Raw genomic sequence first — 26,223 nt, forward strand, 5'->3', positions numbered from 1 at the left:
GCCCTGGGACCAAGGGTTGTGCTTGGGAAAAGTTGGACCTGTTAATTAAAAGTAAAATATTTCCAAATCAATTTGGAAATGACTTGAAGTGTGAGGGAAAGGGATTCATAAAATTTAGGTATAGGAGGCCCTGGAAAAGGACATTTATCCTAGAGGGCACAGGGGGTGTCTCTCTGGTAGGGGAAGGGTGGGGAGGTGGCTTTATAAGAGTGGTCTGCCTTCTCCCTTTCTCACTTTTCCTCACCCCTTTTCTCTCTTCCCCCGCAAAGCTGCTTCCCTGCCCTGCCACCACCTTTAGTGCTTTGTCTTTTTTCCCCTTTGCCCATGCTCAGCTGTTAACCCATAAAGACTTCGTTGATTTTGTGTGCATAGTGGATGGTATGGCTGCATTAATCCCTTCACTGCCTGTATACCCTAGAATTTGTCCCTGACACTGACTTCAGAGCATGGTTTGAGTTCATCTCCCATCATTCCCCATTGTTGTGCTTCCCGTAAAAACTGCCAGCTTTATCATTTCCCCTGGCTCTGCCCACACTGCATGTGTAGGGGCTGAACTATGGGCAAGTGTCTGACCACCCAGGCAGGTGAGTGTGTGTCTTCTAATGCAAGTCTGTTTCTGTTTTTGTTGTCTTTTTAAACTCATAGAATTGATTGTTGAAAATAAGGCCATCAACTGCTAAAACAACTACTAAAATAATTCTTTTTAATATAAAAATAACTTTGTCAAATTCACTTTCAGAAGATTTTTCAGATGTCCCTGTTGAGAGCATTGTTCTAGATAGGTTATATTTGAAACTGTGAGCAGAAGCATGTGAGCCCATCTGCTATGATGAGTAATAGTCATTGAGGCCTGAAACATACAGTGCTTTAAGCATGACTGTTATTACAAAGCATGCTTCTCCCACCCCACCCACCCCCTCAAAGAAGGTAGCCATTGAAACATAAGGATGATAGATAGAATGTATTACTTCAAATCTAACTCTTAGCTGGTGGAGGATTTAGTAATTTAGTTGCTTTAGGTCTTGTAAAAGCTCCTGCCGCTAACTTTAGGAGATGAGAAGTTTGACCCTTAATGTTCTTGATATTTTTTTAGATCAACTCCACAATTTACTGTGATCCAATCCATCTGCTTTCTATCTGTTGTGCTCTATGATTGGTTCTCATTTACCTTCATTTCTGTATTCTACTTTCCTTAAACTTTAAGGAAATCTAATCACAACTCCTGAAGACTTACCTTTCTTAGATCTGAAACTTAAGATCAGTGTATTATAAAATGGAATCTCTTAGCAGTCACAGCTACATAAATTGGGATTTTAATAGTTGTCTGTGCTTTGAATTCTTTTCCTTTAAATGTCTGTTTCTTTTATGTAAAGTTTTTCAGTTTGGGGAACGTGTAGTCTTCCCCTCCCTTTTAATTTCTCACCAGGATCTAAACCCCCCTTCTCTGTGAAGCTTAAATCTGCATTGTACTCTCCCTCCTCCCCCCCCATCAGTATCCAGCAGGTTACCCTTCAGATAAAGAAGGGAAGAAGCCTAAAGGACAGTCAAAGAAGCAGCCCAGTGGAACCACAAAAAGGCCAATTTCAGATGGTAGGTAATGATTGCAAAATATAAATAATAATAACATACTTTTGTTGTTGTTGTTGTTGAGACGGGGTCTCACTCTTGTCACCCAGGCTGGAGTGCAGTGGAAAGATCTTGGCTCACTGTAGCCTTGACCTCCTGGGCTCAAGCGATCCACCTACCTCAACCTCTGAAGTAGCCCACGGCTGTACACCACCACACCTGGCTAATTTTTGTATCTTTTGTAAAGATGGGGTTTCTCCATGTTGCCCAAGCTGGTCTTGAACTCCTGGGCTGAAGGGATCCTCCTGCCTCAGCCTCCTAAAGTGCTGGGATTACAGGCAGAAGCCACTGCATCCAGCCAACATACTTTTTAATAAAGAGAAATATTAAGAAAATAAATTGAGACTTAAATGAAAGCAAAGGATTTGGCTGGGGGGGCATGGTAGAAGATGGATCTTTTGTTTAATAGTGTCAGAGCCAAATAGCAGGAAATAACAGTATCCTAAATTTTAGGGGAAATTAGATGCTGTTTTATGTTGGTTATCTTTCTGCTAAACATTACTTGTGCCAGTTAACTCTTTTGTTTCATAGTTCTGCTTAGAACCACTTGTAAGTCTGCTGATACATTTTTAAAATAAATCTAGATGACTGTCCAAGTGCCTCCAAAGTGTACAAAGCATCAGATTCAGCAGAAGCAATTGAGGCTTTTCAACTAACTCCTCAACAGCAACATCTCATCAGAGAAGATTGTCAAAACCAGAAGCTGTGGGATGAAGTGCTTTCACATCTTGTGGAAGGACCAGTATGTGAAGATTTTTTTAAATAATAACATTCTGATATTAACAAATGATAAATAATTGTCTCATGAAGTCTGTTTTTCACACATCAGTCAAAACTTCATCCTTCTACCCGGTTTTCTAATCCAGTGCCACTACCTTTCAGAAATAATCTGAGGCAACACATATACATGCGCCTAAATTTACTTTAAACCTCTTAGATGCTGGATTTTGACTTCTCTATGCCCAAAGTTACTTTACTTTGAGGTACTGTTCCTCAGAAGAATTTTCAGTTTGTGAAACATCGTCATTTTAATCTAAAAATCACCACGAAAGTTTTTGTTACAGTTCAAAGTTACCTAACCGCATAAGTCTTAAGCAGTTCAGCACAATTTTCAAAACCTACATGTTAAACTAAGTGGTAAAATTAACCAGATTATCTATTAAGTATTTTATGTTTCTAAATTTTCATTTTTTCTTAATCTTTAAATTAATCACATAATTTTAAAGTAAAAAGGAATCACAGTTAATTAATGTGTGGGCTTTGTGTTAAGCTGTGTTTTGCAAACAAGCCCTTCTTATCAAATCCCTAAAGTTGGAGTCTTCAAATATGAACTATCTCTTCATTCTTTCCTCACTTATTGTGTCTTTAATTTTACTTATAAATTTGAATCTTCTATTAAATATTGACCCCTTGTCATTTATAATACAATTACTTTTCTGTTTTCTTTCTCTCCAAAGTGTTGATGTGCCCCCATGTCTGTATGTCTTTTCTATCTAGGCTGAAAGCAGCAACACAAAAACTCTACAGAGTTTCCTTTGTGAGAAATAGTCATTATTATTAAGGAAGAATTTTTTAAATATGATTTTTAAACTTTTAGAAATGCTGAAATTTATCAAATATTTGGATTTATATTGGAATCGTTACTTCCTTTGTCTATAAATGTGATACATTGAGTTATCTTTGGCAAAATGAAGCTTACATGTTTAGAGGACAGGGGAAAGTGATTACACTTTGAGAAGTGTTTACTTGTATTTTAGCCAAGACACCCAGGCGTAAGCAGAGTCTGACTTTGTTAGGTCACACTCATTTTCACTTATAGGAAATTAAGATACAGGAAGCAGTTGTTAATCAGCCTAATTATTCTCTGATTGGGAAAGATAGGGCTTGTTAGTGATAACTGAGGTGAGTTTCCACTGTAGGTGGGAGAGAAGCAATTACAGATGGAGGAAAAAGCCACCTGAGTGGTGTGAAAGTTGTCTTCCCTATGGGTAGTGTCCCACTGGGACAGATTCTGACCTTCCTAGGTCATATTATTGTGACCTTGCTGCTAGTGATTACTTTGGATGTTATGTACTATTGCCCTGGACAAGTTTCATGCCCATTCTCTTCAGATAAGCCAGGAACACATTTATTAAGCCAGAAAAAAACAGGTGTTAGCCAACAGTGACTTTAAATAAATACATATGTGTATATATATTTATGTCCAAACTCCTTCCAAAGGCCCTGTGATCAGCAGCCCTACCTACATCTGTAGTCTCCTCTTAAACTGGTACTCTTGTGCCCAGATTGCTTGACTGCAGTGGTCACTGTTTTATTTAAACATGCTCGACGTCTTGATACCCCTGGGCCTTTACATACATACTGTTACTCTGACTGGAATTCTCTTTTCATGTGTCTCACTCTTTCATATCCTTTAAGTCTGTATAAATAGATTCCTCAGAGAGATCTTCCCAAACTACCCTTTCTAAAATGGCAACTCTTTAAAATTTAGTTTAAAAAGTCCAAACAGATGGGGTTACTATGTTGCCCAGACTGATCTCAAACACCTGGGCTCAGGCAATCCTCCCGCTTCAGCCTCCTAAGTAGCTGGGTTTATAGGCATGAGTCAGTTTGCTCTGTTTCATCAGTTATTACTATCTGAAACAGTTTTTGTTTGTTTACTCTGCTGTAGGAACGTAAGTTCCAGGAGAGCACAGACTGCCTTTTTATTACCACTGTAGATGAGTGCCTAGCACATTGTAGCTACCTGTAACTCAAAATACCTGTATTAGATATACCCGTATTATAGGAACTGTGGAAGTACCAGGTTAAATATTGGTCATTAACAAAGGTGTTTGTTAGGGAGAGAGTACCTGTTATAAAGTTTCCAGCATCTCCACATAATTGCCATATTTTAAAAATGTGTTTATAATACTTTGTCTGTAATATATTTGACTTTAATGATCCATGTTCATAAATCAGTTAATATGAGACATCTTTTGAAATGTGACATTCAATTTTTAAATTTGAAACTTGTAAGGTTTTTTTGTTTGTTTGTTTGTTTTTGAGACGGAGTTGTGGTCTGTCTCCCAGGCTGAAGTACAGTAGCATGATCTCAGCTCACTGCAACCTCCACCTCCTGGGTTCAAGTGATTCTCCTGCCTCAGCCTCCCAAGTAGCTGGGATTGCAGGCACCCGCCACCACGCCCGGCTAATTTCTTGTATTTTTTTCTAGAGACGGTTTTGGCCATGTTGGCCAGGTTGGTCTAGCACTCCTGACCTCAAATGATCCACCCGCCTCAGCCTCCCAGAGTACTGGGATTACATGTGTGAACCACCATGCTTGGCCTTAACTTTTTCTATTAATATAAAAAATAAATATGAAATATACTCCCTTACTACCTAAAATAACTGAAGGATTATCTTTATGACTAGGAAAAAAACTAGTTTTCCTTCTAGCTTAAAAAAAAAAACCAGCCAAGATGAAATGGAGCCAGTAATGGCTTTTGAAGAATACAGGGTATCCATTTGATCATGTTTACATTAGGTGGCTCTACTTTTTATAATTTCCTCCTACTGTAAATAAACATTAGCATCAGGAAGGTATGGGATTTTAGGATTGAGGTAAAATATGACAGAATAATCCTAGGAAAATAAATGTTTTGTTTATGGTATTAGATACTACAGAGTATTGTTTCCTAGTGTTTTTTTTTAAGCTCCTAAAGACAAATATTCAAGTTTTATAACAGCAGAAGATTGAATAGATAATACATGTTCATACTTTGGAATACTGTGCAAAACAGCTTTTTGAAAAAAGGCAGTCAGTATGTAATGACCTTGAGACACGTTGCCCATGATTTTTTTATTTTTTAAGTGAAAAATAGTTTGTCCCTGGAATGTGACATTTAGGGGGACATTGACTTTTTAACATCATATATTGACTTTGCAACTTTTCCTACCCAATACTCTGATTTAAAACTAATGTGTATGGAATGGGATTTCTTTATATAACTTTGCTCTTCTCAGGTAGTTAAAAATCAAGAGTACTTGATTTTTTTAAATAGAAGACTTTTTTTTTTTTTTTTTTTTTTTTTTTTAAGACCGAGTCTCGCTCTGTCACCCAGGCTGGAGTGCAGTGGCGTGATCTCAGCTCACTGCAAGCTCCGCCTTCTTGGTTCACTCCATTCTCCTGCCTCAGCCTCCCCAGCAGCTGGGACTACAGGCACACGCCGCCACGCCCAGATAATTTTTTGTATTTTTAGTAGCGATGGGGTTTCACTGTGTTAGCCAGGATGGTGTCGATCTCCTGACCTTGTGATCCGCCTGCCTCGGCCTCCCAAAGTGCTGGGATTACAGGCGTGAGCCACCGCGCCCGGCCTCTAAATAGAAGACATTAAATGTGACTGAAACATTTTTATTGCTAAATAATAGATGGATATATTTTGGGATACATGTGAAATTTTGATATGTTCATATAACATATAATAAATCAGGGTAATTGGAATGTTCATCACTATAAACATCTTTTATGCTGGGAACATTTGAATTATTCTCTACTAGCTGTTTTGAAATACACAGTAGATGAATTTTATTAGCATATTATGAACTGCTAACTTTTCTTTCCTTATCCTTGGATACTGTTCTAGAATTTTCTGAAAAAATTGGAACAATCTTTTATGTGCGTTTGCTGTCAGGAGCTAGTTTACCAGCCTGTGACAACTGAGTGCTTCCACAATGTCTGTAAAGTAAGTAGAATTCCTTCCTCACTTTCCCTGTTAGGTATGAAGGCACACTAATTTCTATACCTGTTTTTAGCATGCTAAGAAGCATTTTCCGTGAAGCGGGATAGTTGCGGAACCTTCTAGTTAAGAAGCATTTAGTTACGTCTTGGTGGTAAATGCATGTTTTAATTAGATAGTGATAATAATTCAAATATGTGTCATTTGAGATATTCTATCATGTTTGGAATTTTGAGGAGGGGCTGAAATGGGAAAGAAGGTAAGAGGTCATTGCTCTTGTCTGTAATAGCTTATATGTTTTATATATTATAGCGCAAACTGGAGTGTTTTCATTAATAAATCATATAAAACAGTTTATACCTAGCATCATGCCCAGATGAATTGAATATTGTGTTTTCAGTGTGGTGTGAAAGGAAAGTTTGTGTTTTAGTCAAGCCAAGGTTTGAATCTTGCTCTACCCAGTGGTGATTATGTGCCCTAACTTCAGAACTTCAGTTTCTTTTATAAAATGGAAACAAATCTACATACGAGTTTGTGCCTGATCTTGAGTTAACTGTATGTTTAATGTATTTAGTGCTGCTAAATATATATATATGCGTGTGTGTGTGTGTATATATATATATATTTTTTGACGGAATCTCACTCTGTCGTTCAGGGTAGAGTGTAGTGGTGCGATCTGGGCTCACTGTAACCTCTGCCTCCCCATTTCAAGCAAGTCTCCTGTCTCAGCCTGTGGAGTAGCTGGGAGTACAAGCATGCACCACCCTGCCCAGCTAATTTTTGTATTTTTTAGTAGAGACAGGGTTTCACCATGTTGGCCAGGTTAGTCTTGAATGCCTGACCTAAGGTGATCCACCTGCCTCAGCCTCCCAGAGTACTGGGATAACAGGCATGAGCCACCATACCTGGCTGCTAAGTATATTTTTTGAAGACTCACCATATGTGTTAAGTGGTTTGGTAAAATATAAAATTCATTTCTAAGCAAGGGAATCCAGATTTTTTTTCCCCCTCTAGGGCTCTGTTTAGAAAGGACAGGGTTGAAATCTAACCCAGAAGATTAGGCTAGTGGCAACCATATGTAATCTCTAACTCCACCATTTTAGTAGATGAGGAAACTGATGCACAAATTACATAAATAATTTACCTGAAGGCTCCCAATATCTGCCAGAGATGAAACTAAAGCCATGACTGTAGTCTTTTCCATAGTGCAGATTCAAGCCTTTATGTTTGTTCATTCTGTACATTTCTCTCATTACCAGTTTCTGGTTCCTATTTAAAAGCATAAGTTGCTGAGTACTTACATGCTTTATGCTCAGATTAAATTGGATGTTTTTGTTTTTACCATAGGATTGCCTACAGCGCTCCTTTAAGGCACAGGTTTTCTCCTGCCCTGCTTGCCGGCATGATCTTGGCCAGAATTACATCATGATTCCCAATGAGATTCTGCAGACTCTACTTGACCTTTTCTTCCCTGGCTACAGCAAAGGACGATGATCTGCCTGCTTTCACTGTGTTGTTCATGGTGGCTTTTTGGACAATAAAGAATCTAAAATGGGTGGGGAGGGTGGAAGAAATGGTGGACTGTATCTCTCACGTTCTGAAGCAGCTAATCCTCTTTCCCACATAGCCATCATCTTGTGTGTGTAGTAAGAGGCCCATTTCTCAACTGTCTTTTAAATATCTAAAGGTAGTTCCTGTAACAACTAGTTTTAATGAGTAAAAAGTCAAAGCCTCAGCTCTAGTTGATATCCAAGTTATGATTTATTTTGCAACTACCTCAGGACAGAAAAGATTTATGGGGATTTTAAAAATCATTGAATAACTAGTTAAATGAAATTTTAGCTACACACTGCCTCCCAAATATTAGTTGTGCCTGGTTCTTGTAATTTGATTTTACAGAAAAGGAAATGACACTTGAGATCCTTGGAATGAACACAGCTTCTAAAGTGTGCATATACTTTTTTAACGTCTCTTCTTCCATTACAATGTGTGTTTTGCAAGGACAGGTTCATTTTTTTTAGCCCACTTTGTGAACTCCATTGTGCTTTTTTCTGGTGTTTTATGCAAGTTGACTACTAATGACTAATGAGAACAATAATGAATGCATTGTTGCTGCATTAGTGTAATGTGGTGTGGTTTTGCACTTAAAAGAGGTATTCATATGCTCTAGTTGTAAATGTTCATGAAAATCCACTTCTCTACTAGTCGAACTGCTTTTAGTGTCTCACCAGTGGTTTTACATCTGCAGAGTTTTGAGGGCTGTGCTGACCTTTGAGAGGATTTGAAATTGCTTCATATTGTGATCCTAAATTTTATATTCACTATATTCCCTAAAGTATACCTTAATAAATATTTTATGATCAGAAAAACAGCTCATTTTGCTTTACTTTTTTACACTTGTCTGGCTTATGTTATCAGTTTTAAAGGATCCTATATTTCTGGAGTTTTTCATTGTGCATCTCTATTGAAACATTTTTTTTACTTTGTACTGGTAATGAGAACCAGAATGAAATCTTAAGCACTCAGAACAAATTTCTTCCTCAGTTTTTGTTTGTTTGGTTGGTTTTTTGAGATGGAGTCTTGCTCTGTTGCCTAGGCTGGAGTGCAGTGGCACAATCTCGGCTCACTGCAAGCCCTGTCACCTGGGTTCGCGCCATTCTCCCACCTCAGCCTCCCAAGTAGCTGGGACTACAGGCGCCTGCCACCACGCCCAGCTAATTTTGTTTTTCTATTTTTAGTAAAGACGGGGTTTCACCGTGTTAGCCAGGTTGGTCTTGATCTCCTGACCTCGTGATACGCCTGCCTCGGCCTCCCAAGGTGCTGGGATTATAGGCATGAGCCACCGCACTCGGCCCTCAGTTTGTTTTTTGTTTTTTGTTTTTAAGTTTATTCTAATAGGAAAAAAATTTAAAATGGTAATCTAGTGACCATTTTCTGTAGTTTCTGTCCTGTGTTCAGTTTTAGTCTAATCAGTGCTACTTATTTCACAGACATAAGAATGTTTTAAAACGTTCTATTCTCTAAACTATACTGCTAGGCCAGGCACGGCGGCTTATACCTGTAATCCCTGTGGGACGCCAAGGTGGGAGGATTACTTGAGCACAGGAATTCAAGACCAGCCTGGGCAGCATTACAAGACCCTGTCTCTCAAAAAATAAAATCAGCAGGGTGTGGCGGTGTGTGCCTGTAGTCCCAGCTACTTGGGAGGCTGATGTGGGAGGATTGCTTGAGCCCAGGAAATTGAGGCTGTAGTGAGCCATGGTCACAGCACTGCACTTTAGCCTGGGTGACAGAGCAAGACCCTGTTGACCACCACACACCCCCAAAAAACTACATTGTTTTCATCAGAGAAAAGTTTTAATGTGATCCAGTCAGTCCTTGCATCCCTAAGTTCACAGCCATATAAATATCATTCGTTGAATACTTACTTTGTACTAGTCATTTGTATGTATTATTTGTATTCATTGAATTCTACCAACAACAAATGCTATCCCTGTCTTATGGGTGAATATCAGTGGCACAAAAAGGTTAAATAACTTGACCAGAGGTCATACAACAATCAAAAGGTGGATCTGTGCCATAAACTTAGGCAGTCTTGTGTCCAGAGCTGGTGATGTTTGCTATATAGGCAGGCCCTCACTCTTGGATATATGGCCAGCTAGTTTCAGTGCTTTTCCTGAATGTAACTAAATTCCAAATCAGGTTGTGGGAAATACCTGGAACTATGTCTCTTAGAGCTAAACGTTGGAATCATTTTTATTTTGAAGCATTGCATTTAAATAGGATCTTCTTAAATTGAAAATGAATCATTAAATTGCATCATTCATACTATATCCCCTCGTATTGGCCGCATTTCTGCATGAAGAGTGGGAAATGTCTTCCAGTTTCAGCTACTTGAACTGGTTTATTTCTACCACTTTGATTAGCAAAATAGCTGATTCCGACGGTTCCGCTTTGTATTGTCTGAACTCTAGCTATAACATGAGAGACTAGGAAAGAAGGCTGATGGTGGCTTAGCATATTCACAGATGGGAAGAACGGCCCAAAGCTTAGCAATTATTATTGAACCTTTGAGTCATCAAGGTTCTTTTACATAATATTTCAGTTGGTATCTAGAAAATGGGGACTTTTAGGACACATAACCACAATACTAAACAGTTTCTTTACATCATCAAATATCTAGTAAATGTTCCAATTTCCATAGTCTCAAATGTCATAAATTGCTGTTTTGTTTTCAGTTGGTTTGTCTGAATCAGGATCCAAATAAAGACCTCACATTGTGATTAATTGCTATCTCTTAAGAATATTTTAATCTGGGCCGGGCGCGGTGGCTCACGCCTGTAATCCCAGCACTTTGGGAGGCCGAGGCGGGCGGATCACGAGGTCAGGAGATCGAGACCATCCCGGCTAACACGGTGAAACCCCGTCTCTACTAAAAATACAAAAAATTAGCCGGGCGTAGTGGCGGGCGCCTGTAGTCCCAGCTACTCGGGAGGCTGAGGCAGGAGAATGGCGGGAACCCGGGAGGCGGAGCTTGCAGTGAGCCGAGATCCCGCCACTGCACTCCAGCCTGGGCGACAGAGCGAGACTCCGTCTCAACAACAAAAAAAAAAGAATATTTTAATCTGTATACATCCCCTCACATCCCCTCAATCTTTCTTCCCCCTCTTCCCCTTTGCAATTAGTGTGTTGAAATTGGATTGTTTGTTCTGAAGCATTTCTGACAGAACATAGATAATGGAACCCTGTGGTGTAGTTTAACATGTTTCTCTTTATTTTCAGTTAATTGGTAGTTTACAATTAAAGCATGACCAGATTCAGACTTGACTTTTGGGGGCAGGGGATGGGTAAGACTTTGTCATAGGTGATGTGGTTGTCCTTCAGGAGGTACATAATACCTGGTTGTCTCTTAGTCCTAAGTTTGAAAGAAGCTTTTTTCACGGGAATTTATTACATTTGGTAGGTTACAGTGATTACTATGAAGTAATCAATCACTTTAATTTGGATAGGATTTAAACTTTCTGGTTTTACTCACTTCTAAGTAATATGGTTCACTCGACAAATATGTGCATGCTAGTGTTTGAGTATATTGGTAAACTTTTGGAAGCTGGCAAAGTTTCAGAAGCTGGCAATCTAAACATCCATAACTCTCTCATAACCCTGTTATAACAGCTAACAGAAAGGGGCCCTACCTATATACTTAAAGCTTTGGATTTCAGTATAGATCCTGTTTGGAAGAGCTGAGTAGAGATCTGCTCTGATGCCCAATATCTGCTATTTGCCTATTAAGAACCAAACCTTTCCCTATTCTTCAGGACAGCCCTGATTGCAAGAATTGAGCTTGGTGGCCCGTTCACCTTGAGCTTACACTGGAAAGAGTTACCCTTGCTTGCCCACTCTGTCTGGTCCCTACAAGTAGACTGTCACAGTTCCTGAAGGAAGTGATATTTAGTAACCTGGCTTAATCTAATCCTACACAGAAAAAAGATGATATACCTTCACTGGATATAAGAAAATCGGAAGCTTCTTAGAGGGACCATGCAGGCAGACCAAGTGACTGCTGTTGAAAAAGATGAAGATGATCTTTCTTACTCTTTCATGACTAGATTCGCGGGTATGAAATTGCATTGTGTTGACAGAATAAAGCAGGCTGCCATGTGAAGAGTAATTTGAGATTAAAATTCTTGGAAGTAAACATGATTGTGAAGACAAGATGCAACAGATGAAACAATTAGATACTGCCAAAATTTGAATGTATTGCTGAGTAATATTTATGGATATGCCACGGTTTATTCATCTGATGGATATTTGGATTGTTTACAGGGTTTTGCTGTTACAAAGCTGCTGTGAGCCATTGTCAGTCTTTGGAAAACTCTTACAAAATTATGTACTTACCATACAACCCATCAGTGTCACTAATTGTTAACAAAAATGACATTTCAAAGTGGTTTATACCATTTTACCTTCCTGCCAGCAGTGCGTGAGATTTATGGTTGCCCCACATCCTCTCTAATACTTGGTTTTGTCAGTTTTTTAAAATTATAAACCACTCTAGAGGGTGTATAACTCCTGTGAGAGACAAGAATGGGTTGCATACTTGGTGACAGGGGAGTGGACTGTGGTAGCCATTTGTACTGTTCACCAGGTATCTTTGGCTCAGAAGTGCACGTGCTAGGATTGTTCTTCCAAGCTTCCTTGTGTTTGGATAGGGCCATGTGACGAGTTGGCCAGTTAGTCGTGAGCAGATATGCTGTATACCACTTGTAGGCAGGTCATTTCCTTGCCCTTCGGAGTTTTCTTTCTTCTTCCATGGAGACTAGTAACCCTCCAGATGGGACTTTTCTGTCAGCTTAGATCTCAGAATAAGAATGGTACAGAGCACCCAGCTAACTTGTGGTGAACATGCAACATGAGAGAGATGTAAAGGCAAGACCCTAAAGTTTTTGAGTTGTTCGCAGAGCATGACCTAGCCTATCCTGACTGATAAAAACATTCCTAACTTCCTCAGCCTAACAGCAGGTATGGAATTGAATTCATTCTATATTTTATCTTGAGACGGTCTCTGTCACAGTGACGTGATCATGGCTCACTGCAGTCTCTACCTACTGGGCTCAAGCTATCCTCCTGCCTCAACCTCCCAAGTAGCTGGGACTACAGGCATGTGAAACCTGTAGTTTGGCCAGTTTTTGTATTTTTTATAGAGATGAGGTTTCACCATGTTGCCCAGGCTTGTCTCAAACTCCTGAGCTCAAGCAATCCACCTGCCTCAGCCTCCAGAAGTGCTAAGATTACAGACGTGTGCCACCATGCCTGGCCTGGAATTGAATTTAGTTGGCCTTTTAATATTGAATCTAAAATTTTCAGTGTTTTAGAGCTAATTCTTTAATACCCAACTCAGTTGACTTAAGCGATTTATAAATTGGTTGGTAATATAGTAGGCACCCTCTAAGATGGACCCCAGTGATTTCCTACCTTTTGCTCTTCATGCCCTGGTGTAATCTCCTCCCGTTGAGTGTGGGCTGGACTTACATTGTATTGTAAACAACAAAATACAGCAGAAGTGATCAGATGTCACTTCCGAGGTTAGGTCACAAAAATACTGTGGCTTCCTACTTGGACCACCCTCTCTCTCAATCTGGGGGAAGCCAGCTGCCATGCTGTGAGCTGCCAAATGGAAAGGCACATGTGGCAAAGAACAGAGGTCTCCCACCAACAGTCCTGAAGCCTACCAAAAACCACAGAAGTGAGCTTGGAAGTGGATTTGCCTCCAGAGGGTCCTTGAGATGACTTCAGCCCTTTATTGCAACCCTGTGAGAGACCCTCAGCCACAGGTACCCAACTAAATCATTCCTGGATTCCAGACACAGAAAGATGATGAATGTTGATGTCTTAATCCATTAAGCCATGGGGTAATTATTATGCAGTAAAAGATCACTAATACAGATAGGGTGGCCCTGAGTGCCAGTTTGCCCAGGAAAGATCCAATTTGCACTTGTTGCTCCAAAATTATTATGAATAATACCGTTTGCTTTTCCTCCTTAAAGTGCCCCAGATTGGATAACATCACCCTCTTTACTCAATTGAGATCTTTTATGACATAACCGTGAATTCACTTTTATTTCTGAAATACTGTTTCCTTAACCACAGCCAAGAATTTTTTAACTCATTGATTTTCTTTAGGAGAAAATACAGGCATTTAAAGTAAGTCTCTAGTGAAGTCTCCAGTTAATAGATGAAAATGGTAACTGTAGAAAGTACAGTAATCCCATGGGCATTTTGCCTGGAAATTCTTTGACTCTAAGGAGCTTCTAAATAGATCTTTGCCAGTTTCTAGATGCCAAGAGAAATTTTTGAGGTGCCCCTCACTTCCAACATAAATTTACCCTTTATCTATTTGTGTGGAAGATTGTGAACTAGATTGTTCAAATACTTTATCGTTTGAATTTAGCTAGTTGATGTCTACTTAAGAAATCAGTAAATCTTAGATGAGCTTTTGGGCTTATATCCACCCAATACTAAATTACCCCCCGCCCCCAACATAAAATGTCTCTATTTGGGTCACAGATACTTAACAAAGTGTCACAAATGTGATCTTACCAAATCCATAAGTTATTATAGAATGCTCCATTTCTATAAAGAACAATCCCAATTCATGTTAAAAAAATTTTTTTTTTTTTTTTTTTTTGAGACAGAGTCTTGCTCTGTTGCTCAGGCTGGAGTGCAATAGCGCGGTCTCAGCTCACTGCAACCTCCACCTCCCGGGTTCAAGCGATTCTCCTGCCTCAGCCTCCCGAGTAGCTGGGATTACAGGCATGTGGCACCACACTGAGCTAAAGTTTTATATTTTTAGTAGAGACAGGGTTCCACCATGTTGACCAGGCTCGTCTCGAACTCCTGACCTCAGGTGATCCACCTGCCTTGGCCTCCCAAAGCGCTGGGATTACAGGCATGAGCCACCGCACCCGGCCTTTCTTTTTAAATTTTGAAGTAATTATAGACTCACAAGAAGCTGCAAAAATAGTACAGAGAATTTCTATGTATTTTTCACCCAGTTTCCCTCAGGGATAGCATCTTACGTAATCATAGTAGGTTGTCCAGACCAGGAGATTGACACTGGTACAATAATAGTAAGTAAGAGCTTACTTGAATTTCACCAGTTTTTATATGAACTCATTTTTGGGTGTATGTACGTATAGTTTTATAGAATTTTATCACATATATACATTCATTTTTTACATATATACATAGGGTGGTAGTGGTATAAACCACCACCATAATAGAAGATGGACTGTTTCATCATCAAAAAATTAATTCTCTCCTATTATCCTTTAGAGTCACAACTTTCCCCAACCCTAACTCATGACAACCATTGTTCTGTTCACCATCACTATAATTTTATCATCTCAAGAATGAAATATAAGTGGAATTTCATAGTGTGTGACTTTTTGAGACTGGATTTTTTCCCCCACAGCATGATAACCTTGACATCCATCTAAGTTATTGCATATATCAAATAGTTTCTTTCTTTCTTATTGTTGAGTAGTATTCCAGTTTATTCATCTGCTCATGCCTTGAAGGATTTTTGGGATGTTTCTAGTTTTTGTCTGTTATAAATAAAGCTGATAAATATTGCTGTGCAGACTTTTGTGTGGACATAATTCTAGGTGGCATGATAAGTATATTATTAGCTTTATAATAAATCATTTCCCAGCGTGGCTGTACCATTTTACATTCCCATCAGTAATGTGTGAATTCCAGTGCCATGTATTTTTGCCCACAGTAAGTATGGTCAGTATTTTTATTTTAGACATTCTAATAGATGTATAGTAGTATCTCATCATGGCTTTATTTTGTATTCTCCTGATGGCTGATGACTTAGTCATCACTTCATGTGTTTAGTTGCCATCCTACGTATCCATGAAGTGTGTCTTCAAATCTTTTGCCTGCGTTTTTTTGGATTGATTTTTACTGTTGGGTTTTAAATTTCTTATATATTCTGAATACTGGTCTTTTGTTAGATTTAATTTTTTTTTTAATTTTCAATTTTTGTGGGTACATAGTAGGTGTATATATTTATGGGGTACATGAGATGTTTTGATACAGGCATGCAATGTGAAATAAGCACATCACAGGGAATGGGTTACCCATCCCCTCAAGGCATTTGTTCTTCAAATTATAAACAATCCAATTATACTATTTAAGTTATTTTAAAATATACAATTATTATTGACTATAGAGTTGCCATGTTGTTCTATCAAATAGAAGGCCTTATTCTTTCTAACTAATTTTTTGTACCCATTAACTATCTCCACCTCCCCACTACCAGACCCCACTACCCTTCCCAGACTCTGGTAATCATCCTTGTACTCTCTTTGTCCATGGGTTCAATTATTTTGATTTTTAGATCCCACAAATAAGTGACAACAAGGGATGTTTGTCTTTCTGTGCCTGGTTTATTTCATTTAACATAATGATCTCCAGTTTCATCTGTGTTGTTTCAAATGACTGGATATCATTCTTTTTTATGGCAGAATAGTACTCCATTGTGTATATGTACCACATTTTCTTTTCTATTCAGCTGTTGATGGACACTTAGGTTGCTTCCAAATCTTAGCTATTGTAAACAGTGCTGCAACAAACATAGGAGTGCACATATCTCTGATATACTGATTTTCTCTCAGGTATATACCCAGCAGTGGGATGGCTGGATCATATGGTAGTTATATTTTTAGTTTTTTGAGGGACCTCAAAACTGTTCTCCATAATTTTTGTACTAATTTACATTCCCACCAACAATATACAAAGGTTCTTTTTTCTCCACATCCTCACCAGCATTTGTATTGCCTGTCTTTTGGATAAAAGTCATTTTAACTGGGGTAAGATAATATCTCATAGTAGTTTTGATTTGCAGTTCTCTGATGATCAGTGATGCTGAGCACCTTTTCATATACCTATTTGCCATTTGTATATCTTCTTTTAAGAAATGTCTATTCAAATTTTTTACCCATTTTTAATTGGATTATTAGATTTTTTTTCTATAAAGTTGTTTGAGCTCCTTATATATTATGATAATTAATCCCTTGTCAGATGGGTAGTTTGCAAATATTTTCTCCTATTCTGTGGATTGTCTCTTCACTTTGTTGATTGTTCCCTTTGCTGTGCAGAAGCTTTTTAACTTGATGTGATCCCATCTGTCCATTTTTGCTTTGGTCTTTGGTCGTTTGTGCTTGTGTGGAGTATTGCTCGACAAATTTTTGCCCAGACCAACGTCCTAGAGAGTTCCCCAATGTTTCCTTGTAGTAGTTTTATAGTTTGAGGTCTTAGATTTAGGTCTTTCATCCATTTTTATTTTATTTTTGTATATGGTGAGAGGTAGGGGTCTAGTTTCATTCTTCTGCATATGGGTATCCAGTTTTCCCAGTACCATTTATTGAAGAGACTATCTTTTCCCCAGCATATATTTTTGTTAGATATTTGATTTACAGATATTGTTTCCAGTCTGTTAGTTGCATTTTTTGTTGTAATGTTAGTTGCATTTTCATCCTCTTAGCAGGGTGTTTCAGAAAAAAGCTTTTAATTTTGATGAAGTCTGATTCATCAGTTTCTTATTTTATATGCATCATGCCTTTGGTGTCAAACATAATTTATGTTATTTTTTTGAGACTGAGTTTTGCTCTTGTCGCCTAGGCTGGAATGCAATGGCACAATCTCGGCTCACCACAAACTCCGCCTCCCGGGTTCAAGCGATTCTCCTGCCGCAGCTTCCCAAGTAGCTGGGATTACAGGTGCCCACCACCACCGCACACAGCTAAGTTTTTTTGTATTTTTAGTAGAGATAGGGTTTCATCATGTTGCCCAGGCTGGTCTCGAACTCCTGCCCTCAGGTGATCCACCCAGCTTGGCCTCCCAAAGTGCTGGGATTATAGGCGTAAGCCACTGCGCCTGGCCCAAACATAATTTTTTAAACTGTGAAGGACAAGAATCGTTTAATACCCAGATGGTTCCCCTTGCCATTGCTCTTTCCAAACTTAATTTTCTAAGTTTTTTTCTATTATTTCCTTTCTGCCTGAAGAACTTACTCTAGTAATTCTTTTAGATCAGGTCTGCTAGTGACAACTTGTCTTAGTTTTCCTTCTTACAAGAATGTCATCATTTCACCTTCATTCCTAAGGGATATTTTCACTTTCCTGGGTTGGCATTTTGTTTAGCACTTGAAAATATCTTGCCACTTCTTTCTGTCTTCCATGATTTCTGACAAGAAATCTGCTGTTACTCATATTGTTTTTCCCCTATGGATAATGCATTGCTCTTCTCTGGCTTCTTTCAAGAATTTTTGTCTTTAGTTTTCAGAAATTTGATTATGATGTGTTTGAGAATGAGTTTCTTCAGGTTTATCCTGTTTTGAGTTCAACCAGCTTCTTGAATCTAGATGTTTATCTTCTGTCAAATTTAGGGAGTTTCTAGCCATTACTTCTTTAAATATGGTTTCAACCCTCCACTCCTTCTCCTCTTCTGCTGGAACTCTAGTGACATGAATATTAAATATTTAATTACTGTCCCAAAAGCCTCTGAGAGTCTGTTCATTTTTATTTGGTTTATATTCTGTTGTTCAGATTGGGTAATTTCTAGTGATTGAGTTCACTGATTCTTTTATCTATCATCTACATTTCTTCTGTTGAGCCCATCCAGTAAGTGTTTTATTTGTGATGGTATATTTTTCTATTCTGAAATTTCCATTTGGGTCTTTGTAATGTTCTTTCAAGTTGAAACTGTCCTGTTTCTTGATAAGATCAGTAATTTTGCATTGTGTACTGGACATTGTGAGTACTATGAGACTCTGATTTCTATTTAAATCTATTTTATAAGGAAATCAAGCAGTTTAGGTTCAGAGTGCATGTTCTGGCCCGCTTTTATGGGCTGCATTTCAATGTAAATTTAGTTTTCAGAGCCTTTGCAGTGCTTTTCTAGTCGGCCTCGCTTGGGTGTTACCTAGAAGCCAATCTGAAACCTGAACTATAGCCATTCACAGTTCATTTTGCTGTGTTGAATTATGGTCGGTGTGATGCATGGTCTACTAGAGGGTCTGCCCAGGACTTCCTGCAAAGATTTAAAGAATCAATTTCTGTGGCTCCCTTTCCTCTTCAGTCCTACTTCAATCTCTACTTGGGGTGGATGGGGTGCTGCCTTTTTGCAGCCAATCACTCAGTGCAGGGCAGGCATAGTCTACAAGGGTCCACTCCACAGTCTTGGCCAGACCCAGTGACCAGGAAGAATGGGTGTGGTTTTCTCCCATGGTGTTCATGTGGAGTAGGCAGGTTTTTTTCTCCTGCGGCGTTACCCCTTTTCCCATTCATTTGGCTTTTTTTCTTTGTCTGTATCCATTGATGTTTTCTGGTTGTAGACCATTGCACCCAAGCCAAAAGAAAGCAAAAGAAGGCAAAAAGTAAGTATAGGAAAGACCCCAGGAAGCTTACTCCCAGGATATTCCACATATCCGAGAGTGCCTAGATTTTATTTATAATTAGCAAGAGGAATAGACTGGAATATACTTGGCTCCATCTTGTGTGGAATTTGAAGTGCCCAAAGCAGCCTTTCAAAGACAGATTTTTAATCTAAGAAACCATAACACTGTACCACAAATGAACTCTATTTCAGAGAAAACTGATATTTCATTTTATTCATTTATTTATTTATTTATTTTTGAGACGGAGCCTCACTCTGTCGCCGAGGTTGGAGTGCAGTGGTGCGATCTTGGCTCATTGCAACCTTCGCCTCCGGGGTTCAAGTGATTATCCTGCCTCAGCCTCCCAAGTAGCTGGGACTACAGGTGCACACCACCATATCCAGCTGTTTTTTTGTATTTTTTAGTAGAGCCAGGGTTTCACCGTGTTGGTCAGAATGGTCTTCATCTCCTGACCTCGTGATCCACCCGCCTTGGCCTCCCAAAGTGCTGGGATTACAGGTGTGAGCCACTGCACCTGGCCTAAGAAAAATAATATTTATTAAACACCTATGTGTCTTTAGTATATGACAGACTTCCCAACAACGTGACAAAGAAGCTATTTCTTTTGTTATTATAGCTAAACACTTCCAGCAGAAGGAAAGTAACATCTATGCTATGCTCTATGCTTATTGAGGTTTTTGTTTTTAAAATATGGAAACGACAAATACTGTAGCATGCAGATTATTCAGTATTGGTCGTTGTTAAGTACTTATTTCTTAAATAAAAGAATAAGACCAGGCGCGGTGGCTCACACCTGTAATCCCAGCACTTTGGGAGGCCGAAGTGGGTGGATCACCTGAGTTCAGGAGTTCGAGACCAGCCTGACTAACATGGTGAAACCCTGTCTCTACTAACAGTACAAAAATTAGCCGGGCATCGTGGCAGGCATCCAAGAGACCAAGGCAGGAGAATCACTTGAACTCAGGAGGAGGAGGTTGCAGTGAGCCAAGGGCATGTCACTGCACTCCAGCTTGGGCGACAAGAGCAAAACTCCATCTCAAAAAAAAAAAAAAAAAAAAAAGAAAGAATAAAATAATACAAATGAAGCTGACATACTTTCAGTCACACTTCCCATTCCCCTCCGTACCCAAGACATTACTGCAAAATTCTTGATACCTTTTCAGTGTTTTTTTATACTTAATGCACCTATGTACAGGTCTCAATAAACAAAATGTAGGTATTTCAAGTGTTATAATGAAAACATACAAATGATATATTGCTTGTATTCTAAACTTCTTTTTTCATTCACCTTTATCCTTTAGCATAGTCTTGTCTTTTAATGGGTAAGCTTTGTCTCTTTATGTTTAAGACAAGTAGCTCACACTAGTTTTACTTCCCTCCAAATTATCTTTTTTTAAATTTATTTTTATTTTTTATTATACTTTAAGTTCTAGGGTACATGTGCACAACATGCAGGTTTGTTACATATGTATACATGTGCCATGTTGGTGTGCTGCACCCATTAACTCATCATTTACATTAGATATATCTCCTAATGCTATCCCTCTCCCCTCCCCCCGACCCCATGACAGGCCCCGGTGTGTGACGTTCCCCTTCCTGTGTCCAAGTGTTCTCATTGTTCAATTCCCACCTATGATTGAGAACATGCGGTGTTTGGTTTTTTGTCCTTGTGATAGTTTGCTGAGAATGATGGTTTCCAGCTTCATCCATGTCCCTACAAAGGACATTAACTCATCCTTTTTTATGGCTGCATAGTATTCCATGGTGCATATGTGCCACATTTTCTTAATCCAGTCTATCATTGTTGGACATTTGGGTGAGTTCCAAGTCTTTGCTATTGTGAATAGTGCCGCAATAAACATACATGTGCATGTGTCTTTATAGCAGCATGATTTATAATCCTTTGGGTATATACCCAGTAACGGGATGGCTGGGTCAAATGGTATTTCTAGTTCTAGATCCTTGAGGAATCACCACACTGTCTTCCACAATGGTTGCACTAGTTTACAGTCCCATCAACAGTGTAAAAGCATTCCTATTTCTCCACAGCCTCTGCAGCACCTGTTGTTTCCTGACTTTTTAATGTTCACCATTCTACCCAGTATGAGATGGTATCTCATTGTGGTTTTGATTTGCATTTCCCTGATGGCCAGTGATGATGAACATTTTTTCATGTGTCTATTGGCTGCATAAATGTCTTCTTTTGAGAAGTGTCTGTTCACATCCTTTGCCCACTTTTTGATGGGGTTGTTTGTTTTTTTCTTGTAAGTTTGTTTGAGTTCTTTGTAGATTCTGGATATTAGCCGTTTGTCAGATGAGTAGATTGCAAAAATTTTCTCCCATTCTGTAAGTTGCCTGTTCACTCTGATGGTCTCTTTTGCTGTGAAGAAGCTCTTTAGTTTAATGAGATCCCATTTGTCAATTTTGGCTTTTGTTGTCATTGCGTTTGGTGTTTTAGTCATGAAGTCCTTGCCCATGCCTATGTCCTGAATGGTATTGCCTGGGTTTTCTTCTAGGGTTTTTATGGTTTTAGGTCCAACATTTAAGTCTTTAATCCATCTTGAATTAATTTTTGTATAAGGTGTAAGGAAGGGATCCAGTTTCAGCTTTCTACATATGGCTAGCCAGTTTTCCCAGCACCACTTATTAAATAGAGAATCCTTTCCCCATTTCTTGTTTTTGTCAGGTTTGTCAAAGATCAGATGGTTGTAGATGTGTGGTGTTATTTCTGAGGGCTCTGTTCTGTTCCATTGGTCTATATCTCTCTTTTGGTACCAGTACCATGCTGTTTTGGTTACTGTAGCCTTGTAGTATAGTTTGAAGTCAGGTAGCGTGATGCCTCCAGCCTTGTTCTTTTGGCTTAGGATTGTCTTGGCCATGTAGGCTCTTTTTTGGTTCCATATGAACTTCAAAGTAGTTTTTTCCAATTCTGTGAAGAAAGTCATTGGTAGCTTGGTGGGGATGGCATTGGATCTATAAATTACCTTGGACAGTATGGTCATTTGCACAATATTGATTCTTCCTATCCATGAGCATGGAATGTTCTTCCATTTGTTTGTGTCCTCTTTTATTTTGTTGAGCAGTGGTTTGTAGTTCTCCTTGAAGAGGTCCTTCACATCCCTTGTAAGATGGATTCCTAGGTATTTTATTTTCTTTAAAGCAATTGTGAATGGGACTTCACTCATGATTTGGCTGTCTGTTTGTCTGTTATTGGTGTATAAGAATGCTTGTGATTTTTGCACGTTGATTTTGTATCCTGAGACTTTGCTGAAGTTGCTTATCAGCAACTTCAAAATCTCTAAGGAGATTTTGGGCTGAGACTATGGGGTTTTCTAAATATACAATCATGTCATCTGCAAACAGGGACAATAGATCAGAAAAGATAATTTGGACTTCCCTCCAAATTATCTTTTCTGATCTATTTTCCATGTCAGTGTTTAGAATTTTAGTTATAGCTTATTTTTAAAATCCCAAGTTATTTTTAAAATATCTGACTTACTGATTTACTGACACATTTTATCTATTTCTTTGCTCACTATTTCTTGTTGAATACTTCAAGATGTTTTTGTGCCATTAGACCTTTCAGTGACAGTCTTTTTTTTTTTTTTTTTTTTTTGAGACAGAGTCTTGCTCTGTTGCCCAGGCGGGAGTGCAATGTGGCACGATCTCAGCTCACTTCAACCTCCGCCTCCTGGGTTCAAGCAATTCTCCTGCCTCAAACTCCCAAGTAGCTGGGATTACAGACGTGTGCCACCACGCCTGGCTAATTTTGTGTGTGTGTGTGTGTGTTTTTTGTTGTTGTTGTTGTTGTTTTTGTTTTTGTTTTTTTTGAGATGGAGTCTCCCTCTGTCGCCCAGGCTGGAGTGCAGTGGCACGATCTCAGCTCACTGCAAGCTCCGCCTCCCAGGTTCATGCCATTCTGCCTCAGCCTCCCGAGTAGCTGGGACCACAGGTGCCCGCCACCACGCCCGGCTAATTTTTTTGTATTTTTAATAGAGACGGGGGTTTCACCATGTTAGCCAGGATGGTCTCGATCTCCTGACCTCGTGGTCCGCCCACCTTGGCCTCCCAAAGTGCTGAGATTACAGGCGTGAGCCACTGTGCCCGGCCAATGTTTTGTGTTTTTAGTAGAGATGCGGTTTCATCGTGTTGGCCAGCCTGGTCTCGAACTCCTTACCTCAGGTGATCCATCTGCTTCGGCCTACCAAAATGCTGGGATTACAGGCAGGAGCCTCCATGCCCGGCCTCGCAGTGACAGTCTTTGAACAGTAAATATTCTCAATCTTAGCAGGTCTGAAAATGTCTTCATTTTTTTACACTGGTTTTAGAAAGTTAAATTGTCTGGGTTTAGAATTCTAGGTTGCTAATTACCTTTCTTCAGCATCTTGTAGATATACCACTGTTTTGGCATCTATTGTTGCTGAAAAAGTTGAATGTCAGTTTGATTGTCTTTTCTTTGAAGGCTATGTGTTTTCTAGTAGCTTCTGAGTTTCACTAAAATGTATCTAGATGTGTATTAATATCTATTTGTTCTGTTTTGGACTCATTGTGCCCCTTTAAATTGAAAGTGCATATCTTTAGTTCTGGACATTTTTATTATCTTTTAAATATATTTCTCCTTTCCCATTCTATCTCCTTTTCGATGTCTTACAAGTTTTTCTTCTACCCTACACAAGTTAACATCTATTAAATCCTATTAAATCCTCCCTCCGTGCTGTGTTCTAGGTGATTTCCCCACTTCGTTAGTTTTCTTTCTTCCAATTCCTTAAATTTTCTCATTAATTGTGTCTAGTCCGCAGTTTAACCTGTCTAAATAAGATCTAAATAATTTTTTTTGGAGAACTATTTTAAGCTTGTTTTCAAGTTTATCTGTTCTTGTTTCATAACCTCCTGTTCTTATTTATTGATTTTAGTCTTTTGAGCATTAAAACATACTTCTTTCAGAGTTCTTTTAATCTTTCTCTCATTTCTGATTCTTTAAGTGAGAATTTTGCCATTTGTTGGTCCTTAACATTGAATTTCATTTAAAAATAAATAAATTTGTATCTGCAAGCTTATCTTCTATAGGACTTTTCTTCTGAGAGGGTTTTGTTCATGGCTTCGTTATGGATGCAACTGCTTCCTTTGGAGAAATTTTTAGATTATTTCTGCTGGGGCCTTATATGGTTTTCTGAAACTGAACCAAATATTATGTTTTGTTAAATGGGACTCCTTCACCATGCAGATAGTATGAATTGGCTCTGTATTCACATGCAGCCAAGACTCTTGTTGGATGACTTTGTTTCAACCCATGACCTGAGATGGGGAACTTGTTTCTTGCAATGACTCTGGACTAGTAGATACTGATTTTTCAGTCCTTATATTGGAACAGGGCTTTCCCAATTCTAAATGTGCCCATTTCTGCTCTTTACTATCCAATATGACTGCAGCCTCAATTCCTAATATCTATTTCCCACTTTTTTGTTTTGTTTTGTTTTGAGATGGAGTCTCGGTCTGTCGCCCAGGCTGGAGTTCAGTGATGCAGTCTTGGCTCACTGCAACCTCTCCCTCCCACATCAAGCAATTCTTCTGCCTCAGCCTCCCGAGTAGCTGGGACTACAGGCATGTGCCACCACACCTGGCTAATTTTTGTATTTTTAGTAGGGATGGGGTTTCACCATGTTGGCCAAGCTGGTCTCGAACTCCTGACCTCATGATCCTCCCGCCTCATCCTCCCAAAGTGCTGGGATTACAGGCGTGAGCCATCGTGCCCAGACTTCCCCAGCATTATTGAAACCCCCTAATTCCTAAGGCACAACGTATCCAGTCTAGGAACCTCAATGGGCCATGTGGTTTCAAGTTCTGTGGGTTCCCTCTTTATTTCTACCACCTGCAGACTTCCTTTTCTTCTTTTAGAACCTATTTTTTCTATGGGAAATAGGTAAAGAGGAATATTTACTGAGGAAATTTAAGTGAGGAAAGCAGGAATATTTCACCAGCATGTACATGTCTTTGAAGTAGGGATGGGAATATTTCCATACATGTTCAGTCTGTATCCAAAAAGAGAAGTGAGTGCTGTTGGTATTATTCACCTCCATAAGTGAAATAATGTCTGAACAATACCAACAGTACTCACGTAAATGTCATTATCACCATTTTACAGAGAAGGAAGCAGTTTCAGAGAGTTAGTTACTTTCCCTAAGTCACAGCTAGTCATTAGTGGGTCTAGAATTTAAATTCAAAGCTATATGTTAGTTTTCACTATTTTTTCTGCCTCACTGTTTTTCGTTTATTTACTCAAGAATTTACTTTTACTTTATCTTATGTCCTTTTGCCCTTGACATCAGGTTTGGACAGTATTCCAAAGAGACCTGGCCAGGCATGGTGGCTCACGCCTATAATCCCAGCACTCTGGGAGGCCAAGGTGGGAAGACCTGCTTGAGGCCAGGAGTTGAGACCAGCCTAGGCAACATAGGGAGACCTCCTTGCTACAAAAGAAACAAAGAACTAATATGCAACCTGACTAAATTTCATCTAAAAATACCTGACAATGATTGTTGCGTGATGCATATTTCTTTTAGAGACTCCCCTTATTTTCATACTATAATTACCATGGGCTTTTTTCTTTTTATTTATTTATTTATTTATTTATTTATTTATTTATTTATTTTTTTGTGGGGGACTGAGTCTCGCTCTTGTCGCCCAGGCTGGAGTGCAGTAGTGCAATCTTGGCTCACTGCAATCTCCACCTCCCGGGTTCAGATGAGTCTCCTGCCTCAGCCTCCTGAGTAGCTGGGACTACAGGCATGCACCACCATGCCCAGCTACTTTTTGTGTGTGTGTGGTATTTTTACTAGAGATGGGGTTTCACCATGTTGGCCATGCTGGTCTCGCACTCCTGACCTCAAGTGACCCACCCACCTCGGCCTCCCAAAG

The 26,223-nt window shown here is 39.2% G+C and overlaps 1 protein-coding gene across 8 annotated transcripts in view; it reads left to right on the forward strand.

Moving 5' to 3' along the window:
- Window positions 1-8,713, forward strand: part of UHRF2 (ubiquitin like with PHD and ring finger domains 2) — a 93,856-nt gene extending 85,143 nt beyond the window's left edge. For 6 of the 8 annotated variants that reach the window (NR_046386.2, NM_152896.3, XM_017014253.2 and 3 more), the window contains 4 exons: window positions 1,494-1,590; window positions 2,211-2,368; window positions 6,252-6,350; window positions 7,692-8,713. Coding sequence is in view for 6 of the 8 variants with exons in the window: in NM_152896.3 (NP_690856.1) it covers window positions 1,494-1,590; window positions 2,211-2,368; window positions 6,252-6,350; window positions 7,692-7,838 (501 nt within the window). In the remaining 2 variants the exon portion in view is untranslated. Of the gene's footprint in view, window positions 1-1,493; window positions 1,591-2,157; window positions 2,369-6,251; window positions 6,351-7,691 lie in introns of those variants that run through there. The other 2 variants (XM_047422748.1, XR_428418.5) reach the window with 2 other exon arrangements.
- The last annotated feature ends 17,510 nt before the right edge of the window (window positions 8,714-26,223 follow it).

Source organism: Homo sapiens, chromosome 9 (genome assembly GCF_000001405.40).
Source record: "Homo sapiens chromosome 9, GRCh38.p14 Primary Assembly".
Classification (NCBI taxonomy): Eukaryota; Metazoa; Chordata; class Mammalia; order Primates; family Hominidae; genus Homo; species Homo sapiens.